The 19,301-nt window shown below is 51.0% G+C and overlaps 1 protein-coding gene across 9 annotated transcripts in view, besides 5 other annotated features; it reads right to left on the reverse strand.

Annotated features, from left to right (window-relative positions):
- Positions 5,251 to 5,787: an enhancer, noted in NCBI's record as "H3K4me1 hESC enhancer chr3:38583605-38584141 (GRCh37/hg19 assembly coordinates)". NCBI's record gives its function as "activates a minimal SCP1, AML or CMV promoter by ChIP-STARR-seq in naive H9 embryonic stem cells {active_cell/tissue: H9 hESC(naive)}" and the evidence as "EXISTENCE:reporter gene assay evidence [ECO:0000049][PMID:30033119]".
- Positions 5,804 to 8,390: an enhancer, noted in NCBI's record as "VISTA enhancer hs2267". NCBI's record gives its function as "enhancer in: other[4/6]" and the evidence as "EXISTENCE:transgenic organism evidence [ECO:0001131][PMID:17130149]".
- Positions 6,529 to 7,030: an enhancer, noted in NCBI's record as "H3K4me1 hESC enhancer chr3:38584883-38585384 (GRCh37/hg19 assembly coordinates)". NCBI's record gives its function as "activates a minimal SCP1, AML or CMV promoter by ChIP-STARR-seq in naive H9 embryonic stem cells {active_cell/tissue: H9 hESC(naive)}" and the evidence as "EXISTENCE:reporter gene assay evidence [ECO:0000049][PMID:30033119]".
- Positions 10,970 to 11,760: an enhancer, noted in NCBI's record as "H3K4me1 hESC enhancer chr3:38589324-38590114 (GRCh37/hg19 assembly coordinates)". NCBI's record gives its function as "activates a minimal SCP1, AML or CMV promoter by ChIP-STARR-seq in naive H9 embryonic stem cells {active_cell/tissue: H9 hESC(naive)}" and the evidence as "EXISTENCE:reporter gene assay evidence [ECO:0000049][PMID:30033119]".
- SCN5A (sodium voltage-gated channel alpha subunit 5) overlaps positions 11,199 to 19,301 on the reverse strand; it is a 101,626-nt gene continuing 93,523 nt past the window's right edge. For 8 of the 9 annotated variants that reach the window (NR_176299.1, NM_000335.5, NM_198056.3 and 5 more), the window contains 3 exons: positions 18,793 to 18,897; positions 17,416 to 17,686; positions 11,199 to 14,695 (listed from right to left, as the gene is read on the reverse strand). Coding sequence is in view for 8 of the 9 variants with exons in the window: in NM_000335.5 (NP_000326.2) it covers positions 13,458 to 14,695; positions 17,416 to 17,686; positions 18,793 to 18,897 (1,614 nt within the window). In the remaining variant the exon portion in view is untranslated. The remainder of the gene's footprint in view (positions 14,696 to 17,415; positions 17,687 to 18,792; positions 18,898 to 19,301) is intronic. The other variant, NM_001160160.2, reaches the window with a different exon arrangement.
- Positions 11,761 to 12,549: an enhancer, noted in NCBI's record as "H3K4me1 hESC enhancer chr3:38590115-38590903 (GRCh37/hg19 assembly coordinates)". NCBI's record gives its function as "activates a minimal SCP1, AML or CMV promoter by ChIP-STARR-seq in naive H9 embryonic stem cells {active_cell/tissue: H9 hESC(naive)}" and the evidence as "EXISTENCE:reporter gene assay evidence [ECO:0000049][PMID:30033119]".

A 19,301-nucleotide genomic window follows, 5' to 3' on the forward strand; every position in this document is an offset into this window, starting at 1 on the left:
TTGAGACTAGATCCAAAGCCTCCTCTCCCTGAGATCTCTGGTATGCAAAGCTGGTCCCTGGAGGAAGCGCATCAGTTGACAGAGGGAGCCCAGAATCTCTGTGAGGGAAGAAAACACTATCCAACTGCTGCTCCTGGGATTTGAAGTGAAGAGAATTTGTTGGGATGAAGTGAGGTGGCCACAATAAAGGCGCTGGGCCATGGGGCTTCTGAAATGAGATTAATATGAGGAACACCTGAGTCTAGGGTGGTGCCCGGGGCTTACAACAAGAACCCACCTGTGTTTCCTGGGGTAAGGCTGTCCTTAGCATAGTGTGAGGCTAACTGCTGGGAGCTCTGGAGACTCTGCCATGCTGACATTGTGCCTGTGCTCCTGGCCAGGGACTGCCACCTAGATATGAGTCACAGTGGGGGGCCCCTGGGCTCCAGTTGACTTTGAGGAGTGATACTGTCCCTGTGAGGACGCTATGAGTGTCCTCAATAGTGATGTGGTAGTGCTGGTCAGACCCACAATCCCTATTTTCCTTGTTTTTTTGTGTGTTTTTTTTTGTTTTTTTTTTTTAAACACGAAAAAACAAACAAACAAAAACCTCAGAAAGTGAAAATCCCTAAAGGGAGGGACTGGACGTGTCATGTAAATTCTTGATTGGTTAACAGAAGAAATTAAAAGTGGATTGAGGGCACCTTTGTGCTCTGTGCCCAAGGGAAAGTTCAAACAGCTGCATTCACAGATACCAGAGACGCCAGTGTCTTCACCATCACCAGCGACGTGTGGGTGCTGCCTCAACAGGTATTGGGAACTTGCTCTTGTTTACAGCTTGGCTCCTCATGGTAGCTGTAGGAGGCAGGATCTGGGTGGATGGGACCTGGGATTCATTCTTAGAATAGGTCCCCAAATGGTCATCCATTTTGCTTGCCGAGGGCTCTGTGGGGCAGACGTAGGAGGCCTGAGGGGCTGCCTGGGAGGTGATCTGAGGAAGCCTCTTATGGCACTTTCATGGCTCTCCTAGCCAGAGACCAGAGACACCTCCTCTCCCACTTCTGAGCGCTCCATCTACCAATTTTGCATCCGAAATAGCTCCCAAGCTTCTCATTCTCTACTATCCCCATCCTGGTCCAAGCCACCCTCATCTCTCCCTATAGAGATCACCTGACTGGTTATTCTCCCTCATTGCACTTTGTACTCCCCTACCCCGCCATATAGTTTTGTAACTATAAACAGCCTTGTTTGTGGATTTGGAGGTGAATACCTGTTTTCCTAACTTGATTGTGAGCTACATGAGGACAGGGACCTTGTCTGGTTTTATCTATAAGATGCTCAATGTGTGGTTGCTAAACAAAGAGTGGACAGACGCCTCGGTTTCCCCAGCTGGTCCCTATGTAGGCTGATCTCACTTGATGGGAGTGAGTGAGTGAGGAAGGGGACCCTCTGGTTCTGGAGCCTCTCATCTGGCCCTGCTGCTCAGTATTCATTGATCCTTCAAATGTCAGTGTGTCCACAGGAGAGAAAGGGTGGCAGGTAGGGCTGGCAGAAGGCAGATGTGTGGCTTTATAGTGATCCTATGCTTGGGGCTGGGTGGGTTTCAGCTGGGGTGTGGGAGCAGAGAAATTGGCTTTGGGAGGCTCTGTGATGGGGGCCTTGCAGCAGGTGGGTGGTGAGGGCAGCATGGAGGTGGTGGCTGGCCTGGAAGGGAGGAGGACACTGGGTGGCTGGGGTGCCAAGAGAGTCCTGGTGGGGGCTGGTAGCTGGGAAGGCTGGGCAGGGCTGCCCGCAATCAAGAGGGTGACAATGAGTATGAAGAGTATGCTTAGTGGAAGTGAAGGCCTGGGAGGCTGGGAGGACCAGAGGTTCGTCTCCCCCAGCCGCGCCCTTGCTCCTTGCTCTCATCTTCCTCACCCTTCCTGCACCCTGGCCGCTTGGGACCTCCTCTTCTCCCTGATCTGGTCTTTCAGAAATCTCTGGCCTCTAACCTCTATAACCCCTTCCTCTCCCAGCCTCCCAGCCCTGTCCACTCCCCGAGTCACATCCCCACCAGCCCTCCTGCCCTGCCTGCAGCCTGGGCCCTGCTGAGCTGCCGTGCCCTTCTCTCATCACCTCCTCCTCGCTCCCTGTGGCACCTTGGCACCAGCCCCAGATCTGTGTGCACTGATTTCCCAACATTCCTGTCCTCCTTCCCACCCCACTGCCCCAAAGGGAGGGGCTCAAGGACTTGAGACGCTTCCCTTGGGGGGCCCAGCTTTCCCCCAGAGTCAGGGAGGGATGAAGGCAGGGCTGCTGGAGGGCTGGGCCCGCAGACCTGTGGAGCTGCCTAGTGGGAGGTAGAGGGCTGGAGTGGGAGAGCATGCGGAGCCACCGTGGGGGCAGGAGATGCAGCCCTGCAAGGCCACACTGCTCTCCCCAGCTTCCCACTGTCTATTGGTCTTGCCTGGTGTCACCTGCCCTTCCCAGCTCTGCCTCTGACTTCTGCATCTCCCCTGATCCTTTCAGTTTCTCATGGTCCTTCTTATGGGTGATTAAGGAGTTGGGCCCTAGGCCATTTCTGGAAGGCAGGAGTTGGAGGTGAGCTTCCTGTTGCCTTGTGTGTGTAACTCTAGAGTCCCGTAGGTGGGTGGCTGCTGGACGTGCCCTGGGAGGGGAAAGGGACCTGTAAGGGTGTGTCCATAAACAGAGCGATTCTAGAACTCAGGGATGCTACTGTGGACAGGACTTAGAGATTGTTCAGCCCCCACCCTCTTCCACAACCATTTATAGATGAAAACATTGGGCTTTAAGAGGGAAATAGGATTGACATGAACGAGTCACGTAGGGGTTAGTAATCATCATCACTGTCATCATACTAGACATTTATTAAGTGCTTACTATATTTGAGGGATCATTGTAAATTCTTTACAAATCTTAATTTTCATAGTCCTCACACTACCCTGGGAAGCAGCTGTTGTTATTTTCCCCATTTTACAGACAAGGGAACAGAGACTGGAACAGTGAGGTCAGTTTCCCCAGATCACACAGAAAGCCTGTGTCAGAGCAGTGGAAGTTTATCACACACAGGGAGGCTTGCTCCTTCCAATGATGATGTAAGCGTATAAGCATTGTTGAGAGCTCTTTAAAACAGTGGCAGACATTTCACCAAAGAAGATAGAGGAATAGCCAATAAGCACATGGAAAGATGCTCACATTATGGGCACGGTGGTGCATGCCTATAATCCTAGCACTTTGGGAGGCCGAGGCAGGAGGACTGCTTGAGCCCAGGAGTTTGAGACGAGCTTGGGCAACATAGCAACACCCCCATCTCTACAACATTTTTTTTTTAAATAGCTCATGCCTGTAGTCCCAGCTACTCAGGAGCCTCAGGTGGGAGGATCGCTTGAGTCTGGGAGTTCAAGGTTACAGTGAGCTATGATTGTGCCACTGCACTCCAGCCTGGGTGACAGAGTGAAACCCCATCTCTTAAAGAAGAAAAAGACATGCTCAACATCATTAGTCATCAGGGAAACCCAAATTAAAATTACAAGATACACCTACTCAAATGGCTAAAGTTAAAGGAAAAATAAGGCTGGAAATAATAAATGCTGGCATGGATATACAGCAACTGGAACTCTCATTGCTGATTGAAAAGCAAACAAATGCTTTGGAAAACATTTTGACAATTTCATATAAAGTTAAACATACACTATTAATATAACTCTGAAATTCAATTCCTAGGTCTTTACCCAAGAGATAAAAACATAGCCAGGTGTGGTGGCTTACGCCTATAATCCCAGCATGCCTGGGAGGCTGAGGCAGGCAGATCACTTGAGCTCAGGATTTCGAGACCAGCCTGCGCAACATGGTAAAACCCTGTCTCTACCAGAAATACAAAAAAATTATTTGGTATGTTGGTACATGTCTGTAGTCCCAGCTACTTGGGAGACTGAGGTGGGAGGATTGCTTGAGACTGGGAAGATGAGGTTGCAGTGAGTAGAGGTCATGCCAATGCACTCTAGTCTGAGTGACAGAGTGAGACTCTGTCTCAAACAAACAAACAAACAAAATCCAAAACACATAAGCCCACACAAACATCTATATACAAATGTTCATGGCAGCTTTATTCACAATAGCAAAAAATGGTAAACAACTCAAATGTCCATCAACTATTGAATGGAAAACTAACTGTGGTATGCTCATATAATGGGATACTGTTCAACAATAAAAAGGAACAACTGATACAGACAATGACATGGATGGATTTCTAATGCATTATGCTAAGTGAAAGCAGCCAGGCACCCAAGGCTACAAACGAAAATTCCTGCACTTATATGGACTCTCCAGAAAAGGCAAATCTATAGGAACAGAAAATCGATCAGTGATTGCCAGGAACAGCAGACTGACCATGAAGGAGATGAGACAACTTCTTGATGTGATGGAAATATTGTATATCTTAATTATGGTGATGGCTGTACTGCTTAAACATTTGTCAAAACTCATCAAACTGTGCATTTAAGAAGGGTGCCTTTTATTGTATATAAGTTATACTTTCCTAAAACTGATTAAAAAATAAAAACAATGGGCTGGGAAAGGGAAGAAAATAGGATGGTCATGGTCATCCTTATTGCAAAAGTGACCTCTAAGACTTGGAAGAGGAAGCAGGGGAGCTAGGGCTGATCCCTGGGGGAAGAGCATTCCAGGTGGGAGGGAACAGCCAGTGCTTCAGTGCCAGGCCAGGACATGCTTGGCCTGCTCAGGAACCTGTAAGGAGTCGGTGTTGCTGAAGTGGAGCAAGAGGCCGGCCGTAGCGGGGCTCAGACAGGCAAATGGGCAAGGGATGGATCAGGGCTGGGTAAGGGCTGGGTAAAGGCTTTTCCTCTGGGTGAGATGAGGCTGCTAGAGGGCTTTCAGTGAGCGTGATCCGACTTGATTTTAATAGGACCACGCTGGCTGCTGTGTTGAGAGCCCGCTGGGGACAAGGACCAGTGAGGAGGCCACTGCAAGAATCCAGGAGAGAGATGATGGCGGCTCAGACCAGCGCAGTGGCCTGGTTGAACTTGGGATATATTTCGAAGGTAGAGCCAACAGGATTTCCGGCCGGATTGGATGTAGGGTGTGAGAAACAGAGAGGAGGCAAGGATGACGTCAAGGGTTTTGGCCTGAGCAGCTGGAAATCCAGCCGGGCACCCCCGTGGGGGCTGTTGAGTGGTTTTAACTGTCTCCTGGGGCCTGTGGGTGAAGCTGAGACAGAGACCGAAGGGAGGGGCTGAGCCCTACCCCTGGCTCTGTGGCTCAGGGAATAGGCTGCACATACTGATTATTCCATTACCCTTTATTTATTGGCCTTATTGGCTTTTGTCATTTCCTTGTCTCCTGTCTGGAGTGACAGCTATAAATGTGATAGATTGATACAGGATACAGGAGCCCCAATTATCTCTCTTAAACCGGCTTCTCTTAAACAGGGAGGGCTCTCGGGCAAGCTGTCCCTGCCCTCTGCCTTCTTTGCCACAAGTCCTACAGTCTTCCTTACAGAAGTGGCCTGGTTCTGCCAGGGGGGGAGCGATGCCTGGGAGGATGAGTGGCAGACATGGGCCCCAAGGGGAGATGGCTCCCAGGACAAATACTGGAGGCAAGTTCGGCCCCCTGGCCAGTCGCACCAAGGATCCCAGTGCACACTCCCTGATGCTCTGCCTCACACAGAGGCCAGCACAGAGTGGGGCAGGCGGGAAGACAGGACATACTGCTGGCTGCTCAGCCCACATCCGGGGAAGGGGGCTCCACTCTGACCTTGCATGCCTTTCTGGAATCCGAGCCGGCCTGTCTGTCCACAGAGGCTGGGATGATGGGGCTTTTCTCTCCGGCAGCAGGTGCCTGGCAGCTGCCCGGGGATGCCAGCTCCGTGAGCTGGCATGGGAGGAAGTGCTTGTCAGGATGGTCATTACACGTGCTGGGCTCAGGCTGGCCTGGCCCCGACCCCTGCCACTCAGGCTGGCTTGGGATACCCACATGAGGATGGCGCTTCCTGAAGGGACCCTGGGGTCCCTCTGGGATGCCCTCGGATGGAGCTTGGCAACTGCCAGCCTTTAAGTATCATTTCTGAACTAAGTTCCTCACCCATCCTCTCTGCTTGACTCTTCTCTGGCCTGTCTGCCTACCTCTGTCCCTGGGAAAGTCCTGAGGGCCCTGGCCCAAGGAGGTTTGGGACAGGAAGCCTGACATTCATTCTCGGGATTTGAGGCATCTCCCTGTGCCCCTCCTCATCCTTGACAGACTGACTACAGCCTCTGTGCCTTGCATGTGCACAAGTGCATGGTGAATCCACACGTGTTTATCTGGCAAGAATTTCAAATGGTCCTGTGTCTGACCTCCTTCCAGAAAAACAGAGTGGAAGGTGGGACTGCTGGTGAGAAAAGGGGCAGGAAACTTGAGGGGACAAGAAGGGTTCAAACGGAGGAGCAGGTCCAGGGGAACTCAGCAGAGAGTGAATTGGCTGATCAATCAGTTTGTTTCTTCTGCAAACATTCCCAGCTCCTTATCTGTGCCAGGTGCTGGGGCAGGGGCTGAAGACTGTGTTATGAACAAACAGGTCTGGCCTGGCCTTGCACAGCCCTTAGACTCACAGGTGGGCTGCACAGTAAGTGTGCTTAGAGCAATGGTGGGGTGCAAAGGTACCGTGCCAGCACACACAGACTCTCAGAAGCAGCCAGGGGCAGGAGACGCTAGTTCCTGCTGTTCCTCTGAGCCCATCAGTGGCTGCCCTTTGGCATCTTTGCCACCACACCCTTGCCTCACTCTCAGTTGCTGTCCCCAGTTGCTGTCTCTGCCTGTAGGAGTGCCTGGGCTTCTGTCTCCCTGGCCCCTCCCAACCTCCTGGGCTTTGAGTCTCGTGGCCATCAGGGCTGATATCGGAGGAGCTCCTGGCACGGGGGTAGGGAAGCTGCCAACACTGCTGTGGCCCCCAGGGTGAGAGCTGACGTCTGTCCAGGAGCATCTCTCTCCCTGCCAAGGGCTGAGATCTCTGGGCTGCATGCTTTCCCGCTGACACAGGAGCCAGCATCCGTCACTCACAGGGCCACCCGCTGCCTGGACCCCAGCCTCACCCCAGAGTGACCCAGTGACAGCTGCAGCCTTGCTGCAAGCACAGGCCTCCTCTCCCTGCCTCAGCCACTTCCCAGGCTCACTCACTCCTTCCAGGTGAACCCACCCACATCCCAGGCCAGGTGAGGGCCCACCTCAGGCAGCCAGGGAAGACCCCACCCAAGGGGCCGAGAAGCGTGGGCTCCAAGCCTTGGTTTCAAGAACAATGCGGGAAGCTGCCCGCTGGCCCAGACCAAGGTGGTAGTTAGGATCCCTGGAGCTTGTGAGAAAGACCTGACTCCCCTCACAGCCTCACAGTGGGGTCCCAGCCTCCAGCTTCCCTCCTTTCCTCACACATAATAGTCATTGAGTTACCACCATGTGCCAGCCACTGAGCTAGTCCCGGGATGCAGTACTGAGTAAAGCAGACATAGACTCTGTTCTTGTGCTGCTTTTAAGTTTTTTTCACTGAGGTTCCTAGTAAGAAGTTTATTTTCTATCACTCACCAGGATACACACATGGGCACTCACCCACATTTTATATAGAGCTGAATCAACAGTTTCTCCAAACAACACTCACTCTTACCACATGGGATATACTGCTATTTTAAATTCTGATATTCTTTTTAAAAAAAAAAAAACAAAAAAAAACTGGACATAGTCTGCCATTTGAAAAGCTCTCGTGTGGCTGGGGAAAGATGATTAGCCCAGTGGTGAATGGACTATCCCTGCCCCGGTGTGGACCAAGGAACCAATATCAGAGGTTTCAGGGCACCGAACCACATGCCTCTCCTATGAAGTTGGTTTACAAGGGAAATAAATGGCGCCACCCACTTGGGCCCCTAGTCACATCAAGGATATAAAAAGGGGTCTGAGAGAGTGGAGGGCTGCGGGACCCTGGGAGTCAGTTTCTTCGGAGAGAGCTGCTGCTGTGCTGTTTCCAGGACCCCAGCCTTCCCTTGCAGGAGGTTCTGGCAAGGCTTGTGGCAGGCACATACCACCTTCTAACTCTGGGCAGGCCAAGGGGGCTTCCAGAACTTCTCAGAGAGCTTTAAGATGTTGGAGACACAGAGAACTGGGCCTCCAGGATCCAAGAAAGCTCAAGTGGATGAGCGAGTGTGATCTGACTCCCGCCCTGGGAACCCAGAGGAAGGGTTGCAGGCCAGCTGCACTGGGGGTGGCTGCAGAGGGCACTGCTGTCAGGGCATGACCCCACCCAGAGTAGGTGGGGCAAGTGCTCCAACTGTTTCTTATGGGCCAGAGGTGGGCAGGCGAAGAGAGAGCCAGTGTGCACCACTGTGACAGGGCCACCTGGAGGGACAAGGGGTCTTGCCAGGAAGGGCTAGGCTCATGGTTCCCATGGGCAAAGGAAGACATCATAAGGGGGTACCCAGAAGAGAGAGCCCACAAAAATGCCTTGTGTGAGAGCATCCCTAACCATCTGCCTGGCCTGGGGAGGAGAAGCCACCAGCCACCCTGTCTCTGACAAGTCATGGGATCGAATGCTCTCCTGGCCTGGCTGAGTCTGTGTTTATAACACAAACTGACTGATTAGGTAAAATAACCTAAGACTGAGCTGCAAAGCTACAGGATCTGCCCGGGTTTTCTCCAGGGCCAGGGAAGATGATCGCCACTGAATAAAGCTAAAGAGACAGGAAGGGACAGAGACAAAGGCTGGGTTATATTACATCAGGGATTGTGTTTGTTCACATAATGACTTTGCAGGTATTTGCAAGGAGTGTGGAGGGCTGTGGCAGGGAAGCATCAAGAGTGGGGCACATGGTGGGGAGGGGACCGGGCTGTGTCAGGGGAGGTTCCCAGAGGAAGGGGCATTCAGGGAGGTCTGAAGGCTGAGTGGAAAGGAGAAGAGTGTTCTGGCAAGGCTGGGAGGAGGAGGAGCCTGGAGCCTTTGAGGGGTTGGAAGAGATGCTGTTACAGAGGTTGGCAGGACTGGGGAGACCTCTGAGGGGTTTGCCTTGATCCTGAGGCAATAGAAAGCCACTGTGCAGTCTTATCCAGAGGGTAATTATCTTGGATGAAAATATCACTCTGGTAGCTGAGTGGAGAAGAGTTTGGAATGGATGAGGTTAGAGGAAGGAGCTTCCCTGGTGGCCTCCATGAGGCGATATGCTGGCCTCACCCAAGGAAGGGACAATAAGATGGAGCCAAAAGGTGGGATTTGAAAGACACGAAGGAGGTGGAGCCAATGGGGCTTGGACCAGGTGAGGGGTGAGAGGTGAGGGCTGCATGCGGCTGAGGATGGATTTGTGGGACCACCTTCACAGATAGGCTCAGGGTGAGGCAGAGGAGCTCAGAGTTGGCTGGGCTGGGCCTGAAAGCTCTGGAGATGTCCAAAGTAAGCAGCTGAATCTGCTGGCCTGGGGATCCAAGGAGAGACCTGGCCTCAGGAAAAGATCAAGACTCTTCAAAGCCATAGGAGGGGAAAAGAACGTGTTTTCCACTCTTTCTGGGAGAGAGCACAGGGCCTAAAGAACTTGAACATTAGTCAGACACCAGAGGATGTTCTGCCAGGGGAGGCTGAAAAGGCACAGTCAATAAGATGGGAGGAGACACAGGCAACAAAATAAAAAATAGACAATGGAGTTCATGAAAATTAAAGTTTTGTGCATCCCAAGACATTATCAACAGAGTAAAAAGGCAACCCACAGAATGGGGAAAAATATGTGCAAATCATATATGTGATAAAGAATTAATATCCAGAATATATAGAGAACTTCTAAAAGTCAACGACAAAGAAAACAACCAAATTCAAAGGACCTGAATAGACGTTTCTCCAAAGAAGAAATACAAATGACGAATAAGCACATGAAAAGATATTCAGCATAACTGATCATTAGGGAAATGCAGATCAAAACTACAATGAGGCCGGGCACAGTGGCTCACACCTGTAATCCCAGCACTTTGGGAGGCCAAAGTGGGCAGATCACCTGAGGTCAGGAGTTCGAGACCAGCCTGGCCAAGATGGTGAAACCCCATCTCTACTAAAAACACAAAAATTAGCTGGTGGTGGCTGGTGCCTGTAGTTCCAGCTACTCGGGAAGCTGAGGCAGGAGAATCACTTGAACCGGGGAGGTGGAGGTTGCAGTGAGCTGAGATCGTGCCATTGCACTCTAGCCTGGGCGACAGAGTGGGACTCCATCTCAAAAAACAAAAAGCAAACAAACAAACAAAAAAACTACAATGAGATACCATCTCAGACAGATTAGGATGACTGCTATTTGAAAAAAACAGAAAATAACAAGAGTTGATGAGGATGTAGACAAACTGGAACCCTTGTGCTGTGGGAGACAGTATGGCAGTTCCTAAAAAAATTAAAAATAAAATTGCCATATGAAACAGCAATTCCACTTCTGGGTACCTACCCAAAAGAATTCAAGGCAAGGTCTCAGATATTTGTGCACTCATGTTCACAGTAGCATTATTTACAATAGCTAAAATGTGGAAGCAACGGAAGTGTCCCTCAGTGGGTGAGAGGACAAGCAAAATACATACAATGGAATATTATTCAGCCTTAAAAAGGATGTAAATTCTGAAAATTTATGAAAAAAATTAAGAAAAAATTCTGAAAATCCTGAAAAAAATTCCTAAAAAGGAAGGAAATATGTTGTGACCTGGATGAACTTTGAGGACATTATGGTAAGTGAAATAAGCCAGTCACAAGAGGACAAATATTGTATGATTCCACTTATATAAGGCACTTAGGGTAGTCAAATTTGTCAAATATTATATGATTCCACTTATATAAGGCATTTAGGGTAGTTGAATTTGTCAAATATTGTATGATTCCACTTATATAAGGCACTTAGAGTAGTCAAATTTGTAGGGATGAAAAAGCAGAATGGCAGCTCCCTGGGGCTGGGGGAAGGCAGGAGTGGGGAGTTAGTGTTTAATGGGTGCAGGGTGGTAATTTGGGCTGACAGAAAAGTTCTTGACATGGACGGTGGTGATGGTGGTACCACAGTGTGCATGTGCTTACTGCTACAGAATTGTACGCTTAAACCATGGTTATGATGGTCAGTGTTATGCTCTCTCAGCAAGTTCCCCAGACTTGCTCAGGAGAAGGCCATCTCCCAGGCCCTCGGTCCTCTGCTACCACTCTTGTCAAATCTCAGCACAAGGACAGAGCCTAGACCAGGTCATGTAAGCCATTTATTGGTTTGTTTTAAAAATATGTATTTTATTTATACATGAAGTTTGGTGAGAAGTGCTCGATTAGTTCAGACAACATCTGGCACTTGATGTCTGTCCTTCCCTCCTGCTGGTCATTGTGCAGTTCTGGAAATTAAAAAGGTGACAGCCAGGCTAAAAGCTAAGGGTTGGGTCTAGCTCACCTCCCACCCCCAACCACACCGTCTGCAGCCAGCCCCAGGCACCTGTCTCAAAGCTCCCGGGCTGTCCACACACACAAAAACCACAGTCTCCTTCCGGCCAGCTGGGCTGGCAGCCCGACCTGCCTCCCAACCGCATTCCTGCCTGTGTAGCAGGCGGTGAGCACCCAGGAGGGGCACATACCTCTCCAAGCCTTGAGAGCAAAGCATGGAGATCTACAAAAATAGGATTTCCACTTGGAGAAATGTCGCTGGGACAGTTAAACCGTGTCCCACACTGGACTCAAAGGGAACACAGGAGAAGAGAACTAGATCTGTCAGGGGCATGGGTTGGGTCTGGGGTTGCCACCAAGGGAACTGGGGTGACAAGAAGAAACATAATACTTTACTCGCCGGCAATGCCCCCTTCAGCACTGCCACAAATGTCCAGCCCTCCGACAGCTCGGCGAGGTAGGTTAGGAGCAGCCAGCCCAGAGCCGGCAGGTGAGACTGAGGTGGCCTGGGAGGCATGCGCCCGGTGGAGGGGCTCCATGGGAGAGCTGGAATGGGGCAGCCAAGCCCCTGCCTGCTCAGGCTTCGCCAGTTGACCCTGTTACCTCAGGGTGACAGTTCTCTATGTTAAAAGATTTGCATATGCTAAATAGGATTGTCAGCAGCTGAAGAGGTCCTGGGGGTGATTGGACTAGTAAAATATTTTTCCCTGAAAAAGCCTTTTCACAAGACCTATGGGACCACCTGGATCTTGCCCCAAAGAGGTCCTCTGTGTGGGTGCCATCAGGATCCCGGGCTGAGCCAGAGAGGCTGGGCCTGACCACAGTGCCCCCTCTCTCAAAGGTGCCATGGTTCATTCCCCTCTAAGGGCACGAGAACTGGGCCTGACCATCCCTTTCCCTGCACAGGGCGCAGGGCCAAGCTCCGCTCCCCACTCCCATGTCTCTGTGTCTGGAGAGGAGCTGGAGACCACACAGAAAACTCCTCCGCGTATGGTCCAGAGAGCCCTGGGAGATCGCCAGTTTCCTCTCTTCAGGCAGGCTGAGGGGCCGCCATGGCTCAGGGCTGGTGAACTTCTTAGCCCCAAACCCCCATGGCTCAGCCCTCTCTTCCGATGGCTGGCTGGGCAGGGCCTGCCAGGTTCCAGGAGCAAGGACAAGCTGCATGCCAGGCCGTGAATGGGGCTTGCACCCTTGTGTCCTTTGGTTTTGTTAATACTCTTACAGGAGGGGAAGAAAAGGCAACTATCAGTGCCTAGGGCCAGCCCTGGGACCCAGGCCACTCTCCTCTGGAAGCCTTTTATTTTTGTAGGACTGACAATATGACCTGCGTGAAAACACAGGGGGAAAATGGGACCTTGGAGACAATAGGGGGCCAGAGTGAGCCCCGTGGACAAGAACCCCATCCTTGGGGGGCCGGCAGGGAAAGGCCTGTCTCCCTTAGGCTGGGAGCCTGGGTCCCACGGCCTGTGTCTGGCCTCCGTGTGTGAGGACTGTGTGTGTGTGCTTGTGTGAGTGGGGGTTCAGCCCTCCCAGCATCTCAGGTCAAGTGGGAGGGGGACCCCATTCGACCCCTGGGCAGTGAAGACCTGTGGGAGCCACACTGGATTCCACTTCTGCTTTGAGAACAGACTTCCGGCTGCTCCATAGACACTCTTGTTCAGGGTTAAGAAGAGACAGCGTGAATTGCTGCCCATGTCCATGGAAAAATCCTTAGTTCTTTGCTCAAGTAAAAAAATATCAAATATAATAAATTTATGAAAGCCCATTCACAACATATACAGTCTCAGTTTTATATTTCGCCTCAGCAGCTGGGATGAAGTTGCTTTCCAGAGCCGCAGGGCATTGCCTGACCAGACCAGGTCACAGGTCTATCTGAGGCCTCCAAGCACAGGCCAACTGCTCCGGCTGTCCACGCGGCGCCACAGAACTCTGCCTGGTTGATCCGCGGGGCTGAGGCCCATTTCTTACTCCCAAAGCCAGGAAGGCCCCAGGCTGGTTTGTGACTGACTGCATTTAGGTTTGCCATGGTGAAAAAGGCTGCTTTTCAGTGTGTCCTGGCCAGCCAGGCCGAGGCTCACACGATGGACTCACGGTCCCTGTCCGGAGAAGGGGGGAAGTCGGCGAGATCTTCACTGTGGCTGTAGTCAGACCCCCGCACCTGGAGGTTATCGCTGGTGGCTCTAGTGACACTGTCATAGGAGGGTGGGAAGGAAGTGGAGGAGATGGAGGAGCTGGAGGGTGGGCCAAGGGGTCGGGAGAAGTTCTCACTCATCACGTAGGCGATGAGGCCCTCTCGCTCAGGGGCATCCTCTTCGGAGAGGCCGCTGCCCGCCTGCTGACGGAAGAGGAAGGAGGCATGCTTCAAAGAGCGTTGCAGCAGGTGCCTGCGGAAGGCTCTCTGGATAACCATGGCCGACACCTCTTCGTGCTTGCGCCGGAGTGTGGTGGTGATGGGCTCGTAGGAGATCTTGGATGGGTTGGCTGCCATGAACTTCTCCTCCATCTGGATCTTCAGGGCGTCCATCTCCCCAGACTCCCCCAGGACCCTTTTGGTGAAGGCAAAGAGAATGTCCATGCAATGGATGCGGTCCCCACTCACCATGGGCAGGTCCATGTTGATGAGGCTTATCTGGTTGGGCTTGGCGATACGGAGTGGCTCAGACAGGGCATCGGCAAAGTCAGACAGGACCGAATACTCAATAAACTGAGTGGCCTCTGGGTCAAATTTCTCCCAGATCTCATAGAACATATCGAAGTCGTCCTCACTCAGGGGCTCGGTGCTCTCCTCCGTGGCCACGCTGAAGTTCTCCAGGATGATGGCAATGTACATGTTGACCACGATGAGGAAGGAGATGATGATGTAGGTGGTGAAGAAGAGGATGCCCACGGCTGGGCTCCCGCAGTCCCCCCGAGAGCCATTGCTGTTGGGCAGAGTGGGGTCGCAGTAGGGCGGCCCAGTGTTGAGGATGGGGCTGAGGAGGCCATCCCAGCCGGCCGACGTGGTGATCTGGAAGAGGCACAGCATGCTGTTGGCGAAGGTCTGGAAGTTGAACATGTCGTCGATGCCAGCCTCCCACTTGACATAAGCGAAGTTGGCCATGCCAAAGATGGAGTAGATGAACATGACGAGGAAGAGCAGCAGCCCGATGTTGAAGAGGGCAGGCAGGGACATCATGAGGGCAAAGAGCAGCGTGCGGATCCCCTTGGCCCCTCGGATCAGTCTGAGGATGCGGCCTATTCGGGCCAGGCGGATGACTCGGAAGAGCGTCGGGGAGAAGAAGTACTTCTGGATGATGTCCGAGAGCACAGTGCCTGTGGGAAACAACAGAGACTGTGGCTACTGGTGGCACCTCTGTCTTCCAGCCAGCATCACTGTGCAGGGGTTGGCGGTGGGGGGGGGGTCTCTATATGGCAAGGAGCCAAGGAGAGGCGGCCCTTCCAGGATTGCGTCCACTGGGCATGCTAGGACTCTGCCTGCTCCTGTCTGTTTGAGTCTCCATGTCTGCATCTGTGACCCAGAAAAATGGGTCCTTTGCAGGGTTCCTTCTCAGCCCCCTCATTCCTTAATCTTCAGTGTGTACCTACACAATAGAGCTGTCCTAGGCCCATCTTCTACATCTTGGGTTCTCAGGCCAGAGGGGATCTGCTTAGTATCTTGCCCACCCAGCTTGGGCCAGAACTCAGGTCTTTTAGCTCCTTGCTATTCAAAGTGTGGTTTGAGGACCAGCAGCCTTGGGATCTCCTAGGTGCTTATCAGAAATGCAGAATCTCAGCTCCACCCCAGCCCATTGCATCTTAAGAAGCCCAGATGATTTATGTGCCCATCGAAGGGCATGAAACACTGGCCCAGAAATCAGTGCTCCCTGATGCCACGCCATGGCCAGTGTCTTCTCTCAGCTTCTCTGTGATGGTTCTTATCGCTCTCCTAACTCTGCCTCCTTTGAGGGCGTCACTGCCCCTGGGTCTCCTGTGACTACCTGGGTTTGGAGTTTTAAGGGGCATGGATATAAATCATGGAATAAAGAGTGAAATAAACTTGTCTTATATGGCCCAAGTGCCCTTTCCAGACTCCTTATATAATAATGTCACTGACTGACATGGGTCCAGTGTTTACGATCACTGGGGCAATGGGCCGAGCACTTTATAGCCATCATTTCATTTAGTCCTTCCCATTGTCCTAGGAAGTGAGCAGATGCCATCATCCTTATCTTCCAGAAGAGGAAACAGAGGTGAGGTAACTTACCCAAGTTGCCACCTAGTGAGTGAGAAGCTGGGATTTGACTCAGACGTTCGGGCTCCAAGTTGATCTCTTAACCACTCCTCCTCTCTGGTACCGCCCAAACAGCGGGCCAGGAGAGATCCCAAAGTACATGCTGAACCTTCCAAAGCCTCTGAGACTGTCCCTCAATGGTTCCATTCCTGCTGCTGACATCCTGCATTCTCTAAAACTCCTCTCCAGTCCCATAAGGCACGCTCTCACCCTCATCCTGCTTGAGACCCCCCAGAGATTCCTGACCCTACTTTGTGCTTCCATCTTCCCGTCACTATAGCCACAGCAGTGCCTGCCTTAGCCCCTGCATTATCCTTTACATTTACCAGAGGCAGAGGTTGTATATGGCAGAAAGATGAAAGTCACAGTCACCGCAAGGCAGAGCCCCTTGGGGGTAGAGTTAAAGAGTTTGGGCTCCGAGCACAAGTGACAAAAGAAAAAATATAAGTAAACTGGACTTCATTAACATGTAAAACTTTTGTGCTTTAATGGACACCACTAGGAAATGAAAAAACTCACAGACTAGGAGAAAATATTTTTAAATCATATATCTGATAAGAGACTATGATCCAGAATATGTAAAGAACTCTTACAACTCAACAAGAAAAAGAGAAATAACCCAATTAAAAATGAGCTAAGGATCTGAATAGAGATTTCTCCAAGGAAGATATATAAATGACCAACATGCACATGGAAAGATGTCCTGCATCGTTAGTCATCAGTCATTTGCTTTTGCAAACCAAAACCTCAGTGAGATATCACTTCATACTCACTAGGAGGGCTCCTATAAAAAGAATGCAGGCAATAACAAGTGTTGGTGAGGGCAAAATAATTGGAATCCTCATACATTGACAGCGAGAATGTAAAAAGGTGCAGCCATATTGAAAAACAGTTTGGTGGTCCCTCAAAACTTTAGATAAGTGGTTTTCAGGGGTGAGGGAGAGGGGAAATGAATGGGGATTGACTATTAAATGGGTAGAGTTTCCTTTGGGGAAAGGAATATATTCTAAAATTAGATAGTGGTGATGGTTGCAAAGCTCTGTGCATATATTAAAAAACACTGAATTGTATACTTTAAAGTGACTTTAAAGTTAACCGTGAATTTTATGGTATGTGAATTATGTCTCAGTAAAGCTGTTATATAAAAAAAAGATCTGGGCTCCGAGGTCAAACAGACATGGGTCAGGATTGGGTCTCTGCTTCTCCCTAGCTGCACAATCTCCCTCCTTTGGTGCTGAATTGACTGGGTGAATTGCATGAGGCAGGTGATGTCTGAAGGAGTCTGGCATACACCTTGGCGGTTAGCTCCAGAATTTTCCATCTTCAGGGATAATTTCTACTCTGGAGGGCCACCTATCCCCCATCCCTGGGGACCCATCTCATCCTGAGCTTCCTTCTCCTTCAACCTAAGTGCAGGCAGAATTAGCCTCCACAGCACCCACTCCCATTCCCAGACTCATCCTTGAAGCTCTCTAAGCAGTTAGAGAACTGTGTTCCCAGTTCCTCTGGAGGGTGGGGCCAGGAGCAAGTGCTGGGTCCTCTGCCAGATTGGTCTCCTTGGCCCAAGTGGGGCCTTCCAGATAAGTTCTCTCTGGAGAGGTGTGTGTGCGTGTATGTGTGAGGGGAGAAGGGGGGTGAGAAATGCACTGAAAAAAATTATGAAAGAAGCTAGGGTTGTACATGGCATTCAGCAGAGACCCAGGGGCTGGAGGAGAGGCCTGGCTGGGGAGGGCTTCTCCGTCCAGCTGACTTGTATACCCACCCACGATGGAGAGGATGACAACCACGAAGTCGAAGATATTCCAGCTGTTGGTGAAGTAGTAGTGGCGCAGGGCAGCCAGCTTGACAATACACTCGCCTGTGAAGATGGCCACAAAGAGCAGGTTGATCTTGGCCAAGATGTTGATTTTCTCAGGACTTTGGTCATCTGTCTCCACCATCATGGTCACCATATTCAAGCAGATCAGAAACATGATGGTGACGTCAAAGGCCTGCTTGGTCACAATGTCGAATATGAAGCCCTGGTACTTGTTCTGAAAGGAGAGGCAAATGGAAAGTGCTCAGCAGGGCCCTTGGGGAGGCTGGCAAATGCCTGTTGCTGCCTCTCATCCCAGACCACCCACCCTCCCACTCTACCCTCTAGTGAGCCCAAAGCCCCTGCAACACTGCCACAGAGAGTGCAGAGGAAAAAGTCCTGGAGGCTAAAGCCACTGGCTGTCCTGCTGAAATGCTTCCTGGGCTTCAAGGCCCATCCCCAGAGCTCCATCTTCCATGAGGCCTTCCATGATGGATCTTCAGGGAGAGATTGTTCCTGCCCTGAGCATCCTTAGCACACTGTTCATTGTGCTTCCCTTTTAGTTCCCACAGTCTGAAGGCTCAAGGGCAAATTTAAACTTCAACCTTAGTAATTATGTCAGTGCTTAGATTAATATATTTTCTCCACTTTTTTATGGAATTTATTTTATTTATTCTACTAACCATATTTGTATGTGTCTTTAATTGTAAATCAGCCCAGATTATTTGGGGAAAGAAATAAGATTTTATATATATATATATATATATATATATATATATATATATATATATATATTTTTTTTTTTTTTTTTTTTCTTCTGTTCTCCCACTTGGAAAAGATTATAAATAACACACACACACACACACACACACACACACACACAATTTTTTGGATAATGGCTTGATTGGGCCAAGGGAGTCAGTCTTGGAGAGGACCCCGCTCTCCAGAGCTCTTGGCTCTCCCCACCAGGTGACTCAGGAATCCGGCTCCCTGACTGTTCTGGGGTTCCAAGGATGAGGCTGTGAGTGGGGTGGGGTGGGGCTGTGAAGGCTGCACTGCTTTTCCTGGGGAAAGCCTGCATCCTTGAGGGGAAGGAGGAGATTTGCTCAGGTACAGAGGGTTCCTGTGGGTGGGGAGTGTCCTGGGATGCTACATCCTTATCATACCTTCCTCCCTATCTCTACGAGGCTGGGACCTCTCTTCATGATCAGACATCTGATAGTGCCCCTCAGGCTGGGCTGAAAGACTGTGAAGCGGCTCTGATGGCTGGCCATGTGGCACGAAAGCTTCCCAGGGACCCCAGAAGATCCTCCCCACTCCCACAAAACCAGGAGCCTGGCTCACCAGGGGCCGTGGGATGGGCTTCTGGGGCTTCTTGGAGCCCAGCTTCTTCATGGCATTGTAGTACTTCTTCTGCTCCTCTGTCATGAAGATGTCCTGGCCCCCTAAGTGCAAAGAGAAGGCACCAACCTCATTCTGGGGTTCTCAGAGGCCCCAGCATGGAGGGCACCAGGATCTTGCCTTCTTGATGAGGATGCCAGGATTGACCACCTCCTGGCTTTCTCTCCTGGACAAAATATGTCCCTATTCTGCACCACAGATTCTTCCCCAAATCTATTTATCCAGGGGCCCTGTCCCTTTTCACCTTGAGATCTCTCTGGCTTTATGACCTGCAAATCCAGTATCCACCCCCCTACCCTTTTCTCCTCCCAGCTCAACCAGCCTTCAGGTTCTCTCCGTTCACTTGGTTTGCCTACAACCCAGTCATAGCCTCTCTGATGAAGCTCTGGGAGCCCAGGCCCTCTGCACAGGCCTTACCCATGACCTCTGATCATGGACCAGGTGAAGAGTTG

The sequence above is a fragment of the Homo sapiens genome, chromosome 3, assembly GCF_000001405.40.
Source record: "Homo sapiens chromosome 3, GRCh38.p14 Primary Assembly".
NCBI lineage: Eukaryota > Metazoa > Chordata > Mammalia > Primates > Hominidae > Homo > Homo sapiens.